Consider the following 17,972-nt stretch of genomic DNA (forward strand, 5'->3'; position numbering starts at 1 on the left):
TATATCTTTTAAAAAATATTTGGCTGGTTTTTAATTAGATTGTTTGTCTTTTCATCATTGAGCCTTAAGAGTTCTCTAGACACACTTGATAAAAGTCTTTGTCAGATACATATTTTGCAAATATTTTCTTGCAATCTGTGGCTTGCTCGTTCATTTTATTAATGCTTTCTTTTAATGAGAAGGCATACATTTAATTAAGACAAATTAATTATGTCTTATTCTTTTACGGTATTGCTTTCTGTGTATTAAGAAAACTTTTCATACCCTCCATTCATGAAGACGTTCTTTTGTCTGTTTTCTTCTAGAAGCTTTACAGATTAAATCTTTGTGTATATTGTGAGATTGGGCTGAGATTTAATTTTTCCTAAATGTATCTTGTTGTTCCAGCACCATTTGTTGAAGTGACTTTTTCTTTCACATTGTATTGCTTTGGTGCTATTCTTCAAACATTAATGGACTATGATCAGCTGGATACATTAAATATGAAAAGAAAAAAGGAAAAATACAGAAAAATATTTTAAATAAAAAATTAATAGACTATTAAAACACAGGGTACTCTATTTTATTTCAGTAATCTAACTGCAACCTCCAGCTCCCGAGTTCAAGCGATTCTCCTGCCTCAGCCTCCCGAGTAGCTGGGACTGCAGGCGCACGCCACCACACCCAGCTAATTTTTGTATTTTTAGTACAGATGGGGTTTCACCATGTTGGCCAGGATGGTCTCAATCTCTTGACCTCGTGATCCATCCACCTCACCCTTCCAAAGTGCTGGGATTACAGGCGTGAGCCACCGTGTCCAGCCCTCAATCTTTCTATTTTTATATCAGTATCTTAATTACTATAGCTTTATAGCAAGTTTGAAGTCAGATGTTTTGTTAACTTTGTTATTTTAAAAATATTTATTTTAATGTTAGAGGTATTTCCATTTCTTATAAAGTTCCAAACCAAATTATCAAATTCCACAAAAATGCCTTCTGGAAATGTTTTGACAATTGTATGGAATCTAAAATTCAATTTGGGGAGGAGCGATAGCTAAACGAATAGAGTGAATCCTCACTCCACGGACAAAGGAGCTCTCCCCTTTATTATACATTTTGGCCTATTCAGGTTTCCTATTTCATCTTGAGTCAATTATGATAAATTTTATTTCAATAAATTTACCTAACTTGTCAAGTATATTGACGTAAACGCCTCCACAACATTCCCTCATTTCCTTTTAATGTCCATAGGATCTGTAGTGATGCCCTCCCCGCAATTTCACTGCTGTTAACTGTAATTTGTACTCTCCTTTTTTATTAATGAATCATATTAAAAGTTTATCGATTTTTTCGATCTTCAAAAACCTAAATTTTGGGCTCATTAATTTTTCTACTGTTTTTCTTTTCTCTATATTCTAGATTCTAGTTCTTATCTTTACTATTTTCTTATTCTTACTTGTTTTGGGTTACTGTTTTTTCTGCTTCTAACTTCTAAAAATGCAATTTTATATCATTGAATTTATACCATTATCATTTTCAAATATGAGCATTTATTGTCGTGTGTTTCTTGGAAGCCTGCTTCAACTACATTTTGAAGAGCTTGAATTAACAACCTGAAGTTTTTAATGTGTTTTCATTAAGAATCTGGTCAAAATATTTTTTCTCTTGTAATTTCTTTTTTGATCTATAATTATTAAGGAATATATTATTTAATTTCTGTTATTTTGGGGATTTCCAGATACTGTGTTTTTGTTGATTTTTGACTCAGTTTTGTTCTAGTCAAAGAGCATATTCAATATTCTTATAATCATTTTAACTTGACTGATATTCATTTTATGGCCCGGCATATGATTTATCTTGGCGATTACAACATGCTTGTACTTGAATGGAATATGGATTTTGAAGTCATGTGAGTAGTTCTCTGAAAGTACCAATTTGGGTGATAATAGTGTTGTTCAGCTCTTCCCTGCCAATATTGATTTTTTTGCAGTTGCTGTAGAGATTATTATATATTCTATTCATGTTTAAGTATATTTAGTGTTGAAATTGTGCCACCTTATATGTATTATCATGTAAAAGCCTTGCAAGCTTGCAGCTCTATTTACCTTCACCTGGTATTTTGTGCTAGAGTTAATATCATATATATCATGTCTACATTATCATGTATGCCACAATGTAATACTCTACGCTTAGTTATAAACAATTGTATTTCAAAGAAATATAAAAACAAATTGTATTTCAAAGAAATAAGAAGAAAATAGAGTCTTTTATATTTATCTACATATGTTCTCTTGAGTCTTTGTTAAAGATTTGACTTTCCATTCTATATTACTCCGCTTTACCTAAAGAATTTAAGTAGTGTATACTTGTGAAAATTTACAAGTTGATGTATTTAATATTTCAGTAAAAACTTACATATGAGAATATTCACGTTTAGCAGAAATTTATCTGAGCTTACCGGGTATTTCAGGACCTACAGATAAAATATTTTCTCAACTAAAAATACCAAGGTTTGAAGAGAAGGGTCATTTGGATTTGTCATCATTTAATTTATCATATTTTCAAGTGCCTTATTCATAAAATTTGACCTTGAAAAAAATTATAGTCACTATTTTGAAAATGTTCAAATTAAAACCATATTAACAATACTTTTTCAGCAAAATACTAGTGATATATATTTTATATGGATCTGGCTAAGAAATAGATCAAAAAGTACATAGATTGTGCCCAAATTTATTAAACTATTGTTTAATTTTAAAATCAGTATAATAGGCCAGGTGCAGCGACTCACACCTCTAATCCCAGCACTTTGGGAGGCCGAGGTGGGCAGATCACTTGAGCTCAGGAGTTCGAGGCCAGCCTGCCAACATGGCAAGACCCCATCTCTACTAAAAATACAAAAATGAGCTGGGCATTGGGGTGTGCACCTGTAGTCCCAGCTACTCAGGAGGCTGAGGTGGGAGAATTGGTTGAACCCAGAACGTGGAGGTTGCAAAGAGCCAAGATCACACCATTGCCCTCTAGCCTGGGTGACAGAGTGATACTCTGTCTCAAAATAAATAAATAAATAAAATTAGTATGATATTAATAACTAAAGATAAGACTTTTTAAGTCATGCTTTAATGAACATGAATAGATGCTATTTTTTGAAATACATTTTATTTTTGCAAATTATTTTTGAATAGAATTATTTAATAGGCTTATCAATAGAATAAAACAAATTGATTTGTGTATGAACATGTTCATAAGTATGTACATATATAATTTTTTAAAAATTATCTGTAGTGCTTCTGTGCCATTTATTCTCAAATGTATCTTAGTTTCACTGATAAATTGTAGGGTCATCTTACCTTTAGGGTTTTCAGCAACCATGGAAACTAAAATATTTTCAACAAGTGCTTCCATAGACAAGAGCTCTCATTGTTTCCTGGACTTTTGACTAAGATCCAGTGTAGATAAGAGCTATTTATTCCACTAAAAAGTGGCAATTCTACATGGGTGTAAGCTGTAGCTCTGGACCAGACAGCAGGGCGGGGTGTGGACACTGCCTGATCCCTGGAGGAAGGTCGGTGACGTCTCCCACCCGCCAAGCACTAAGATTGGGCCGGGCACTCTGTGAGATTGTTATGCGTGGATAGACTCGGAGTCAGGCCTAACGCTGCAGGGCAAACCTGCTAGAGAATGTTTTCCCTCGAACTTGATCTTCCTCTTGCCCAGCCTTAGAGAGGACACTTGGAAAAATGCTGCCTTTTCCATTGTGATCTGCCTCTGGTGAGCTGGGAGGAAAGCGGCCATGAGTTCAAAAGGACGGACGGAAAATCTCCTTAGGGTTGGCAAAGAGCAGCTTTACCACAGAACAGATGGAGTCTTGGTTTCTGTGGACTGCTGGTATTTTTATTATTGGTGCTTCTTTTTTGGTAGAGGAGGAGATGGAAGGTGGAGAGATGAGGATGGAGGGGGAGGAGGCTTGCCCCCTGCTCTCTGTCCTCTGCTAGCCACAGTTCTGCTGCTAAGTTCTTGTATCTCTTTTAGAATTTGAAATATCTGTTAATGTTTATTTTTATTTTCATTTTAAAAAATAACAATAGATTTTATTTTTGTGAGCCATTTTAGGTTTATAGACAAATTGAGCAGAAAATACAGAGAGTTCCTATACATGTCCCGCACACCATTTCTCTGTTATTGACATTTTGCATTGGAGTGGTACGTTGTTAAAATTGATGAGCCGATATTGATACATTGGCCCAAATCTATAATTTCCACCAGGGTTTATGCTTGGTGTTCTGCATTCTGTAGGTCTGGGCAAATATGACAGGAATCCACCATTACAGTATCCAGAGGAGCTCCCCTGCCCTACAAATCCTCTGTGCTCCACCTGCTCCTCTCTGCCTCCACCCGAACCTCTGGCAACCACTGTCTTCATAATTTTGCCTTTTTCAGGATGTCGTGTAGTTGGAATCACACAGTCTGTAACTTTTTCAGGTTGGCTTCTCTCACTTAGCCATAAGCACTTAAGTTTTCTCCATGACTTTCCCTGACCTGATACCTCATTTCTCTTTTTCCCCGAAGCTCTTGCATCTGTTGCCTGTGTAAGGAAGCTGTATATTGCGCCTGACACCACATCGCCCTTCTGACAGCTGTAGTTACCCATAGAATTCTCAGTTCTGCCTGCAACCCAAGGAGACGAGCATTCCTGTCTTCATTTTACAGAGATGACAGGATAAGCCATGTGCCGTAAGCCACACAGCTGGACCCCTAAATCCAGGATTCCAGCCCTTGGCCTCCCTGGGCTACAGGGGCTGCAAGGACCAGCGACAGCAGCAGCACCAGGAACCCTGTTACAAATGCAGAGTTTCAGGCCCTTACCCACACCTACTACATCCCGATCTGCATTTTAACAAGAACCTGAATGGAGCTTTGTCGTTTCCAAGGCAGAGCCAGCCTCTCCATGGGCACACAGAACTGCATACTTCTGTGGACTTGGGGCAAATCTGCTTTATCACACTTTTTACAAAATAGTTAGGGTTCTCACGGTATTTTGCAAGACTACAAGGTAAGAGCTTATCTTGGGATAGGAGGATCCATCTCCATTCTGGAGGTGCAAAGAAAATGGGTCTCAGACTTCAAGCTCTGAGCCTCAAATGCTAGACCTCTTCCTCTGCTTTCCTCTCTCCACCACCAGCATTTCATCCCAGACTCTGCTCAACGCAGCTCAGCAACAGAGAAATGAGAAGGGGACTTGGCTTCAGCAAGAGTGAACTTACTTGGATGCTCCAGGGAGGCAGGAAGGTGCAGGGGTGGACACTATAGATGTGGAAGGTAGGAATTCTCAGCGTGATTCCCATTCTGGATACCTCCCAGGAACCAGCCTGGAGGATGAGGGCAGGGGCAGTATAGCCCAGGACACAGGTACAGAGGCGGGAAGTCACCAGCACAGCAGGATGGTCTGTACCACAAGCCATGGAGGGGTGTGGGTGCCACCTTTGGAGAAGGAAAGAGGTAGCATCTATAGGGAGTGTCCTTTAAGCTGAGTGTTGACAAATGAGAAGGCAGCTTCAGTTCTGCCTCGCTCCAATGATAGCAATCCTTTTGTTTCTGATTATAATACTGGGTACTTGAACTCTACTGACCTACAATATGCAGTCTCTGTCAACAGTAAGAGCATCTGCCCTTGTAGCAGCCCTCATGCGGAACAAGATCTCTGACAGACGGCTAGCACATATTACTCTTAATTATCATAACTGCCAACAAGGTTGGTATCATTGCTCCTGTTTTTGGATGGGAAATCAAAAGTCCAGAGAGCATAAGTGTTACTTCCCAGGTCATCCAGCTGCAAATGAGAATGTGTTTGAACTGCCAAGGGTATTTGTGAATTTGAGTGTTGATGTGGGCTCCACAGTCTGTTGATATTTTTTCATGCAACCCTCACTTATCACCACTGGCTTGTGTTTACTGGGGCTTGCATATATCCAACAGAAGAGGTGGACTAAGTCAGCATGTGAGCTTTTAAAAAAATTAGCATTTAAATAAAGGAAACAGTCATAAAATGTTGTTCACCAGTAGTAACTCAACTCTGCTTAGGAAACATCACTTGGGCACTTATTATGAGCAAGGTGGTCTATTAGGGGTTAAGGTTGTCAGGTTGAGCAAGGTACCTTTATGACAGAAAACACGTACAAATTCAGATTGAGCATCTGTGATGTGCCTCCTATAGATACAGAAGTGAATGCAGCTAGGACCAGTCAAAATTTTACATTTCGGGGAAAGGCAGTTTGCTCAGCTTAGCTGTTGACTAGTCCTAACGTGTTAGGACTGAGTGGCAGCTAGATTTCCTCATATAAGTATGTCCTCTTCCCATGTCAGAGAAATGCCATAAAGGCCAAAAATCATCTCAGATTTGAAAGCTCTTTGAAATTTATGTAGTGCTAAACAATGCAAGCCATGGTTATTTTGCTTGAGATATTTTCCTGTCTGTAGTTTACAGCTGAATAATACTCACAGGGTTTTTTTCACCTTTGTGAGTATTATAGGCATAACTTGCAAAACTGCAAATACAAGGCCTTTGAACGTCAATCAGTCCACCATGTAGCCTGTGGTGTTGATGGATTATTTCATAGAAAGTTGACTGGGCTCACTTCCTGTTGTGAGGTGAGGCTTTAGGAAGCTGAATAATTCAAGGGATGGTTGATCGGCTGAGACCATAAATTCTCAGACAAATTTCAACAGAACCTGGAGGCACACTTGTAAATAGATGAGACTGAAAAGGAAACACAGATCCTGTCTTTGACAGACAAATGTCTCTCTCCAAGCTAAGAATGCAAGTGCCTTATAGGGGCCTGAACTTAATTTATAGCCTTGAGATAGAGCCCCAGACCTCAGAAGAGAAGGAGTTTGGGCCACCTTCTCATCCAAGGTCACGTCCATACCACACGCCCAGCATCCCTAACACATAACCATTCAGCCTGTGTCAGTTATCAACTGCCGCATAACAAATGCCCCCATTCCTTGTGACTTAGAACAATACATGCACTTGCATGATTCTGAGCTTGGTGTCCTGGTCCCTGCTGGTCTCACCTGAGCCCACTCAGGTGACAACCCTAAGCAGCCAGCTTGGTGGAGGAAGGGGCATCCCGGCCTACTGGGGTGGCTCTTTCTTGCTCCATACAGTCTCTCATGCTCCAGGAGACTGAGAACAAGCTTTGCAATATGATGGCAGACGTGTTCTGAGAGAGATAGCAGATGCCATAAAACCCAAGGTCTACCCTACACAGTCAAATTGACAAGTATGAAGAATCTCAAGACATGGAAATAGGCAGATGTAATGCTTATGGCCTGTGCCCTTGTAATTAGACTTTTTATCTTGAGATAATTGTAGAATCACATTCACATACCATTATAAGATATATAATACAGAAAAAACTCATGTACCCTTTACTCAGTTTCCCCTACAGGCAACATCTTGCAAAATCATAGCACATTATCATAACCAGGATATTGACATTGACAAGGTCAAGTCACAGAAAATTTCTATCATCCAGCGATCCTTGGAGTCTAGGAGTTGGAAACAAGCCAATAAGCCAGCGATTCCCACCAGCAAGGGCATCCTCAAATGCCCTTTTGTAACCACACCCATTCCTTCCTGCACCCCACCGTCCTCAATGCCTGGCACCACTAATCTCGTCTCTATTTCTAGAATGTGGTCATTTCAAGGCTATTATAATAATGGAATTGTGGCATATGTAACGTTCGAGGGTTGGGTTTTTTTTTTCACTCAGCATAATGCTCTGGAAATTTAGGGAAGTTGTTTGTTTCTTTTTACTACTGAGTAGTAGCCTTAAGTATGCTGATACTTTTTTTTTTTTTTGAGACGGAGTCTCGCTCTGTCTCCCAGGCTGGAGTGCAATGGCAAGATCTCTGCTCACTGCAAGCTCTGCCTCCCGGGTTCACGCCATTCTCCTGCCTCAGCCTCCTGAGTATCTGGGACTACAGGCGCCTGCCACCATGCCCGGCTAATTTTTTGTATTTTTAGTAGAGACGGGGTTTCACCATGTTAGCCAGGATGGTCTCGATCTCCTGACCTCGTGATCCACCCGCCTCAGCCTCCCAAAGTGCTGGGATTACAGGATACTTTTTTTTTTTTTTTAACGATTTACTTGTTACAAGCTATCTGGGTTGTTTTCAGTTTGGGGCTATTTTGAACAACAACAAAAAAAACTGTTGTAAACATTTGTATACAGGATTTTGTGTGAACATAAATCTTCATTTCTCTGGGATACATACCCAGGAATACAGTTGCTGGGTTCCATGGTTAATTTTTAAGAAATTGCCAAACTGTTTTCCAGAGTGGCTCTACCATTTAACATTCCCACCAGCAATGCATGAATGATTCAATTTCTACGTATCCTTGACAGCATTTGGTGTTGTCACTTTTTTTGTTTTAGCCATTTTGGTAGATGTGTAATGAAATCCAAATGTGGTTTAATATTTCTTCATGTCTTCTGAATTCTAGCTGTTTTTTAAATTTTATTTTATTTGATTTTTATAGAGTCAGTGTCTCTCTCTCACATTCAGGCCGGAGTGCAGTGGTGCAATTATAGCTCACTGCAGCCTCAAACTCCTGGCCTCAAGTGATCCTCCCACCTTGGCCCCTCAATGTGCTGGGGTTACAGGTGTGAGCCACCATGCCTGGCCATGGATTTTTTTTATATGGTTGAGTTTTGAGAGTTCTGGCAGGAGTGAGGCAGTGCCCCTCTTCTGCTGCTGGGACAGTATCAGAAAAAAACAGATAAGAGCAAAGTTTTAAATAAGACTCAAAGTCTCAGAATATAATACAAAAATGTCCAGGTTTCAGTGGAAAATCATCCACTCTACTATGAACAGATGAACTCAAACTAAAGGAAAAAAAAATCAATAGATGCTAACACCTAGAAGACGGAGATGCTAGAACTATCTGACAAGGATTTCAAAGCAGCCACAATAAAAATGTTTCAATGGGCAATTACAATTACATTTAAACAAGCGAAGACACAAAATGCCTCAACAAAGAAATACAAAGTCTCAGCAAAGAAATAGGAGATATAAAAAGTACTAAATGAAAATTTGAGAACTGAAAAATACTATAACCAACACGAAAAGCTCAGTGGATGGCTTGACAGCAGAATGGAGGGGATTGAGGAGAAAATCATTAAAGTGGAAAATAGAGCAATAGAAATTACCCAATCTGAACTAGAGAAATAAAATAGAATGAAAAAAATGAATAGACTCTCAGGGACCAGTGGGACTATAACAGAAGATCTAATATTCTTGTGATCAGAATTCTGAAAGGAGAGTGGAAAGAAGATACCTTAAAGCATATAAATAAAGGGTTTTGGGAAAAGAAATAGGACAAAATCTTCAGGACCTACAGTTAGGCAAAGAGTTCATAGACTTGACACCATAAACATAATACATAAATGGAAAAGCTAATAACTGACTTCATCAACATTAAAAACTCAATCTGTGAAAGACCCTGCTAAGAGGCTGAAGATGTTCTAGTATCTAGAATATGTACAGAACTCTCAAAACTCAACCACATAAAAAAAAAATCCACGGCCACGTATGGTGGCTCACACCTGTAATCCCAGCACATTGGGAGGCCAAGGTGGGAGGATGACTTAAGCCTACGAGTTGGAAACAAGCCTGAGCAACAGAGTGAGACCTCATCTCTATAAAAGAAATAAAAAATTAGCAGATCACGAACAGTGGTGAAAATCCGACTCTTCCCTGGGCCTCCTCTGTTACCCTGATGGGCTGGGAGGGGCGCTCCATTCCTCCTCAATCGGGGTGGAGTCTGGGGTATATGATGCCAAAGGAAACCCCAGGGACTCACCATCCTGACACTCCCTGGGTCCTGAGGCCCCTAGTTGGCCTGCCTTTACCAGAATCTTCTCATGCCTGCTTTATGTATAACACCCAGGGTTTTCATAATGTCTAGGGGGCGTAAGAAAGAATACATCTTCCCAAAGCAGATGTCATTCACAGTGGTCGCTTTTACAGTAAACTAAAGTTTTCTTGTGAGGATTGAAGAAATTGTGTGGTGTGTGTGTGTGAGAGAGAGAAAGAGAGACAGTGACAGTAACTGACCAACACAACCACAACCACCAAACACACCACATACCACACAACACACATGACACCCACCACACATACAACACACTGCATACCACACATACACACCACACAGTACACATGTAACACACACCACACAGCACATACACACCACATGGCACATATCACATAACACGCACACCACACACACACACACACACACAGAGCATCTGAGAGGCAATGGCAAGCAGGCAGCACTGGAATTCCCCCGGGGTCCATGAGGCCTGGGAAGGAACTGGAGTGTCATGTCTGAACCAGGCTCAGGTCGGGGTGGGGCCGGCATCCATGCCAGGTAGAGCAGCTGCCAGGCCAAGGAGGCAGGGACACTGTGTGGGCTGCCACTCACATCTCCTGAGGCTGCATTCCTCCACCATGTCCATGACCCAAGCATTGTCCTCTGTGCCTGGACCTGGGAGGACTCCTGGGGGTGGTTTCCTGCACTGAGACTCTGCGTGAGCAGCAGAAGTGGCCTGTGGTTGGTTTCACTGCCGCCGATGCCTTGCCCAGCTGCTGGCAGGACCCTGGCAGGACCCTGGCAGGAAGAGTAGCGCCTGGTCCTAGCAGGTGGAGGTGACATCCAGAAGCCCCAGGTGGGTGTACGCACATCTTGTGTCCGCCTGCTCTGGCCTTTGAGGCATCGACATGCCGCGCTTCCTACCCGCAGGGAGGACCAGGCCGCCCGGTTATGGCAGTGAGTAGGTGATGTGTGGCGCAGGTGCTGCCCAGGGCTGGGCAGGTAGGGGCTTCTCTGCCTGTGGCCTTGGGGCCCTGCAGCCCCACCTGAGTGCAGAAAATGCCCAGGCCCTACCCTTGCCATCAGCCCATGCCCACCTGGCCCTTACCTGGGGATCTGCCATGTATCAGCTGTGATCATGGGACTGTGGCCTGGGCAGCCTCCCTGGCCCTCCAGCTGGAACTGTGGGTGGGAATGGAAGGGGCTGAGGCCTTTCCCAAGGAAGTTCTTAGCCCATTCCCCAAAAAGGACCCAGAGAATATTTTGGCTTCTGTTTCAGAACAAACTCCTTCTAAATAAATAAATAAATAAATAAATACAGTCGTGTGTTGCTTAAAGACAGGAATATGCTCTGAGAAATGCACCTGTGGGTGATTTTATGGCTATGTGAACATCACAGGGTGCACTCACACACACCTGGGCGGCACAGCCTCCTACACACCGAGGCTATGTGGTATGGCCAGTTGCTCCTGGGCCATGCACCTGTTCAGTGTGTGACTGTATAGATCCTGCAGGAGACTGCAGCACAATGGCAAGTACTGTGCCATCTAAACAAAGAAAAGGCACAGTGAAGGTGGAGCGTCCTAATCTCAGGAGACGACCTTTGTTTGTGAGGTCTATTATTGAGAGAAATCTCATTTAATGGCACGTGATTGTCAGTAGGTAGGTAGATAGGTAGGTAGATAGACGGATAGATAGTTGAATAGATAGGCAGATAGATGATAGATAGATTGATAGATAGATAGACGGATAGATAGATAGATGGATGGATACATAGACTGATAGACTGACAGACAGACGATAGATTGACAGACAGACGGATAGGTAGATGGATAGGCAGACAGACAGATAGATGGATAGATAGATTGACAGACAGATAGATAGATAGATAGATAGACAGACGGATAGACAGATAGATGGATAGATAGATGGATAGATAGACTGATAGATAGACGGATAGATAGACGGATAGGTAGATAGATGGATAGATAGACGGATAGACAGGCGGATAGATAGACAGACGGATAGATAGATGGATAGATAGATGGATAGATGATAGATAGATAGATAGATAGATAGATAGATAGATAGATAGATAGACATTGTTTCTTTTTATTGGCATCAGCAGAGTCTGAAATGAGAACTACAGAAACAATCCCAGCCCCCAGCCCCCAGCCAGAAGGAACCTGAAGTTTCAGGGCTAAGGAGCAGATGTGTTGCCAGGAAACTTAACCCCCACACCAGCCTCAGCCTCAGATGCAGCCTGTGTTTAGTGGAGCTGGCTTAAAAAAAAACACATAATAAAGCAGGGATGGTAGGGGGTGCTGATTCCTTGAGTATTTGCTGGAAGCATGAGTAATCATGGCTCAGTGAAGTGACACTGAAATGCTGTTTTCCCTTTATTGTCATTAACGTTGATAGCGGTGACAACCCCCAGTCCTGTGTTTCTGTGGCGTGCATGTGTCAGAACTCCCAGAACTTTACCAGCAGCCGCTCTTCTGTGCAATGCGCAGAGCAGTGGGTGGGAGAAGGCGTCTCAGGTCCTCATCCCAGGGCTTGGCAGGAAAACGGGGCTGGATCGGATTCAGGAGACCAGCTCCCTCTACCTGTTTCTGCTCCCCTTTACCCAGGCAGCCTTGGGTGAGACACAGGTCGTCCCAGAACCTCAGTGTCATCCTCTGTAAAATGAAGAAATTGGATGCCACCCTTAGGAAAATCTTTCTGGTTATGATATTCTGTGTATGAGCCACTAACTGAATAACTGAAGTCAGACAAACTCCCGTTGTCTAAATTATCTGAAAAATCTCAGGCTGTGAAGCTGAACAGATGGATGAATTTAATAAATGCATCAAGGATCGTTGCTATGGCAGTTTCGTGATCTGTAAAATGGGTTTCATGATGACCTTTTTGGGCATTCTAAGATTCAGAGCAATGAAATTTTCAAAGCTCTCAGCTCAGTGCTAGGCACATGGTAGACAGGAAGTCAAACTCAGCTGTTGTTCAAGCTGGATTCATGTCCAGACCCTGCCACCAAATCGCCAGGTAGTTCCCCCGTGAGAGAAGGTGAATTCTGCTCAGTCTCCCCAGTCCCCAGTCCAGCAAGGGTTCTGAGCACAGTGAGGTTGGGGACGCCTGTTCAGGAGCTGAGCTCTGGTCTCTGAGCTTCATTCTGGGCTGAGCTGGCTGTGAGACCCCAGCTGTGTGTCTTCAACAGTCAAAACACCTGTTTGTCCAATGTCGGCCCTCAGGAAGGAGGGTGTTAGGTCTAACCCCAGGGCCTCCCCACCCACCAGCCTGCTGTGGGACGATGGTTTCAGTGGTTTATTCACAACCACAGTGATGTCTCCACTCACAGCTGCCTTCCCTCTCTGCCTTTCCCCACAGCAGGGAGTGGCAGTGACACTGCTCCATGGAACACCTGAAACATTTTCTTTTTCTTTGAGACAGAGCCTCACTCTGTTGCCCAGGCTGGAGTGCAGTGGTGCGATCTCGGCTCCCTGCAGCCTCCACCTCCCTGGATCAAGCGATTTTCCTGCCTCAGCCTCCCAAGTAGCTGGGATTACAGGCGCCTGCCACCAAACCCATATAATTTTTTTTTTTTTTTTGGTATTTTTAGTAGAGATGGGGTTTCGCCATGTTGGCCAGGCTGGTCTCGAACTCCCGACCTCAGGTGATCCACCCGCCTCGGCCTCCCAAAGTGCTGGGATTACAGGCGTGAGCCACCGTGTCAGGCTACCTGAAATATTTTCAATCCCCAACTTCTGTTTTTGCGGAATGGCAACCATTCAGTGACCTGAGCTTAGATCTCCTGAACCGGCGTCCCAAACCTCACTGTGCTCGGGATGCTTGCTATACAGGGAACTGGGACACTGGGCAGAATTCACCTTCTCTCACAGGGGAGCAAAGTTGCTCGGCAATTTGGTGGCAGGGCCTGGACGTGAATTCAGCTTGAACAGCCACTGACTTTGATTTCCTGTCTACATGTGCCTGGCACTGAACTGAGTGCTACGAAGGTCTCATTGCTTTGAATCTTATAAGCCATTTCTTCCCATTATAAAAACATATAGAAGTTAGTCTAAGAAACCCATGAATTTGTGCTAGGGAGTGGATTCAGAGCCCAGGAGCCCAGAAAGGTGAGCTCCTGGGTGACTCCAAGGACCAGGGTCCTCTCCTGGCCTCCGCTCTGCATTTGACAGTGAGGAGCTTCCCAGAACTCTTTCTGCCAAAGCCACGTCCACCCCCGGCATGGGATTCTGGGTCTGAGCAGAGGGGACCCTCGGACTTCCTTGAGGCCTGTGCCTGGTAGCAGCCTCATAACCAGCTCCAAGGTTTTTCTTTTTGAATGTGTACAAGTGATGCTCTCTGACGCCCAAATGCTCTCATCTCGATGCTTGGTGTCAGTTTTAAATTTGATTTCCATGACATAGAGCTTTGGACATAGGATGAGAGTTACCCCTAAGTGTGGGATGCAGCTCAGGAGATACCATTATTAAAAACATCAGTCCACGCATACACACGGCTTCTCTCTTCATGCTCCTTCCTGACAGGAAGCCCGGGCAAGATGTATTCTTATTCTTTCACTATTGTTGCTACTCCTGTCTTTCCCTTCCCACACTGAGGTTCAGCGCTGTCTACACTGGGGGGTGCCCTCTGCTCCCTGAGCTGGAGGTAAGTCTCATTTCTTGTAGTGGGTTGAATGATGATTCCCAAAATACCACGTCCACATTGTAGCCCCTGGGACCTGTGAATCTGAGCTTATTTGGTGAAAAGGTCCTTGCAGATGCAATTAAGAATCTTGTGGGCGGGCACAGTGGCTCGCACCTGTAATCCCAGCATTTTGGGAGGCTGAGGCAGGTGGAACAACTGAGTCCAGGAGTTCGAGACCAGCCTGGCCAACATGGTGAAATCCCATCTCTACTAAAAATATAAAAATTAACTGGACATGGTGGTGCATGCCTGTAATTCCAGCTACTCAGGAGGCTGAGGCAGGAGAATCTCTTAACCTGGGAGGCAGAGGTTGCAGTTAGCCGAGATCGTGCCATTACACTCCAGCCTGGGCAACAGAGCAAGATCTTGTCTCACAAAAAAAAAAAAAAAGAGTCTTGTGATGAGCTCATCTGGATTAGGGTGGGTCCTAAATCCAATGACAAGCGTCCCTAGAAAAGATGGGGAGAAGCACAAGGGGAGGCCACATGAAGATGGAGACAGAGATGGGGGTGGTGCCTCTACAGGCCTGAAGTACCCAGAAGCTGGAAAGGGGCCTGGAATAGACTTTCCCTCAGAGCCTGCAGACGGAGACAACCCTGCCGTCACCTCCATCTGGGGTTTCTAGCCTTCAGAACTGTGAGGGAGTCCATGCCTGTTGTTTTAACACCACCTTGTTTGGGTTAATTTATTAGGGCAGCTGTAGGTAACTAACACATCCTGAATCCACAGCCTGGGAGCTTCCCCCTCTTGGAAGTGCCTCTGGGCTTCTCCATGGCTCCGCTGGGCTGGAACAGGCTGGGGGAAAGGGTCCCCTCCGTTCAAGGTGGGTACTCAGGGGCTGTTGCCTCTGTGCTCAGTCCATGCTAAAGACAAAGCCAGAGGCTGGCTCCTGTGCCTGGCCCTGGCCCAGTGATGGTCCTGGATCGCTCTCCTGCCCTGCTGGTGGACTCTTCCTTTTGCGGGGCCTACAGCCTTCCTGACTGTGGGGCTGAGAACTGCGTCAGCATGAACCGAGCCCACCTTGCATCCTAAGCTGTTAGTGAGACGCTCCAACTCCTGATTCCCTCAGCAGTAGATGACATGGTCCTCATGGCCTCCTCACTTGTGCTGAGACCCTGATGTGAGAAGAAATTTAAATCTCTTCTGCAAGGTCATGTGTTGGGAGGAGCCGTGCAAGGTTCAGCTGACTCACAGAGGCCCATGCTGAAGCCTGAGGCTTCTGCCAGGGCTGGATGCAGGCAGGCAGCTCACAGCAGGGTACCTCTGGAGCTTGGCATGCCCATGAGATGCAGTGACGCACCTGCAGGCCAGCATGGGCTGCCCAGATCCTGCAGGGAGCAAGTGGGAAGGTCCAGACCCCTGGACCAGGAGTGAGAGCCTGCCACAGTGTCCCTGCCAATTATGAGAACATTCTCCTTTAATTAATCCCAAATACCTACCTCTGAAAACTCATCATTGCCACTTGGCCAGAAAATATACATCCTTATGATGCTCAGTATGGAGACTTGGGACAGGTTCTGGAGAAAGATGACGAGAGTAAAATTAACAAGGGTGCATTTTAGAAACTGTGATATTTAAAAGGCAGTTTGTCCTCCATCAGAAAATTTGACATTTAAAAACCACTTTCGATTTTTCTAAAAGAAAAAAAAAAAAAAGAAAGGTCTATTCCTGCCCAGAGAGGAAAATGTATAAAACTGTGAGAGATTTGCCTGGAGAAAATCACATTTTCATTTTCTCTCTTTGAAAAGTTGAATTGCAAGAGGAAAGGTAAGGTTCTGCCAAGGCTGCAGGTGGGAAGAGGGGTGAGGAGGAACCAGCACTGAGGCCTGCTCAAAGGCTCACCTTCACTGAAAATTCAGAACAGAGCTGCTGAGTGGCTGGCCCTGGAAGTGCTGTTTCCCTGAAATGAGATATTGAACAATCTTAGTGGATTAGAGCCCCACAGCTGGAAATTTTCATAAAATGATCTGACTACGAGAGGCTCTGGAGTTATGGCGCAGATCTTGTGGCTTCTTTTGCTATTGCTTTCTCTTTGCTTTTTTTTTTTTTTTTCCTGCTTTTAGCATCTATGAAGGTCCTGCATAGGAACAGCTCTGAGGTTCCAGGAGCACGCATGGTGCCAAGGCGCTTTGTCTTGTAGCTGGAGACAGCTGTGTCCACAGAGCCCAGACATGCAGATTTTAGAAGAGCACATGGCAGTGTTTCTTATGATTTTCTGTGGATGAGAGAAGTCCCTTGGAGGTCATCACTCCGGGACGTCCAGGGGGCAAGGAGGCACAAGAGTAGGGGTGTGGGCTCCGGATTTAGGAGTTAAGCTGCATGACCTGGAGCCTTCCTCAGCCCTGCTCATGCACACACCCTCCTCTGAGCAACGTGGAAAATGACACCAACCTGCTGCAGTTTCTTCAGGATTGGAGGGCGTGTGCACATCCCCTGCCACGGCATCCTCAGCAACAAGAAGCTGCCATTTTCACCGGGCGTGGTGGCTCATGCCTGTAATCCCAGCACTTTGGGATGCTGAGGCAGGTGGATTACTTGAGATCAGGAGTTCGAGACCACCCTGGGCAACATGGCAAAACCCATCTCTACTAAAAATACAAAAATTAGCCAGGTGTGGTGGCAGGCTCCTGTAATCCCAGCTACTTGGGAGGCTGAGGCAGGAGAATCACTTGAACCCAGGAAGTGGAGGTTGCAGTGAGCCGAGATCGCGCCATTGCACTCCAGCTTGGGAGACAGAGCAAAACTCTGTCTCAAAAGAAAAAAAAAAGAAAAAAAAAAGTAGTCTTGTGCTTTGATCACATGTGGGTGGGATTGAGACTTGGCTGAGTGCTCACACCTGAGGGTAGATAAATGCTGTCGATTTTGAAAGGAGAAACCACTGTGGTCCTCCACCGGGCAGTGCTCTTGGGACTCCTACTGACAAATATCTGTTGGGTGTCAGGTCTGTGTGCATAGCAGAGGCCCCTGGAGCATTCAGAGTGAAAATCCCCAGAGAACATTCCAGGGTGGGCTAGGCTGAAAGCATAGACCACAAGAAAAAAGGGGGTGCACACTGACCCCCAGAAACACGGGAGAGAGCAGGTTGAAGAAATCGCTCGTTTCTGTTCAACATCGTCATCAAGGACTTGAAGAAATCACTCGTTTCTGTTCAACATCGTCATCAAGCACAGAGGGGACATCTGTAAAATGCTCCAATATTATTCAGCCTCAAACAAGAAGGAAATTCTACCATTTGTCTCAATGTGGGTGAATCTGGAGGACATTGCTAAGCGAAATGAACCAGGCACAGAAAGGTATTAATAACAACCATACAGTCACACTCGTATGTGGATTCCAGGAGAGTCAAACTCAAAAGCAGAGAGTAGATTGGTGGTTCCCAGAGGCTGGGGTGAGGGTCAGGGACGGGC

At 44.3% G+C, this 17,972-nt stretch overlaps 1 long non-coding RNA gene across 1 annotated transcript, besides 2 other annotated features; it reads right to left on the minus strand.

Annotated features, from left to right (window-relative positions):
* Positions 10,078–10,578: an enhancer, noted in NCBI's record as "H3K4me1 hESC enhancer chr22:48438360-48438860 (GRCh37/hg19 assembly coordinates)". NCBI's record gives its function as "activates a minimal SCP1, AML or CMV promoter by ChIP-STARR-seq in primed H9 embryonic stem cells {active_cell/tissue: H9 hESC(primed)}" and the evidence as "EXISTENCE:reporter gene assay evidence [ECO:0000049][PMID:30033119]".
* Positions 10,579–11,079: an enhancer, noted in NCBI's record as "H3K4me1 hESC enhancer chr22:48438861-48439361 (GRCh37/hg19 assembly coordinates)". NCBI's record gives its function as "activates a minimal SCP1, AML or CMV promoter by ChIP-STARR-seq in primed H9 embryonic stem cells {active_cell/tissue: H9 hESC(primed)}" and the evidence as "EXISTENCE:reporter gene assay evidence [ECO:0000049][PMID:30033119]".
* On the minus strand, positions 12,245–16,084 carry LOC124905150 (uncharacterized). The gene is made up of 2 exons (XR_007068162.1): positions 16,005–16,084; positions 12,245–12,536 (listed from the first exon to the last, which is right to left on the minus strand). It is a non-coding gene; the product is annotated as an uncharacterized LOC124905150 (long non-coding RNA).
* Between the last annotated feature and the right edge of the window lie 1,888 nt (positions 16,085–17,972).

This window comes from Homo sapiens, chromosome 22 (genome assembly GCF_000001405.40).
Source record: "Homo sapiens chromosome 22, GRCh38.p14 Primary Assembly".
NCBI lineage: Eukaryota > Metazoa > Chordata > Mammalia > Primates > Hominidae > Homo > Homo sapiens.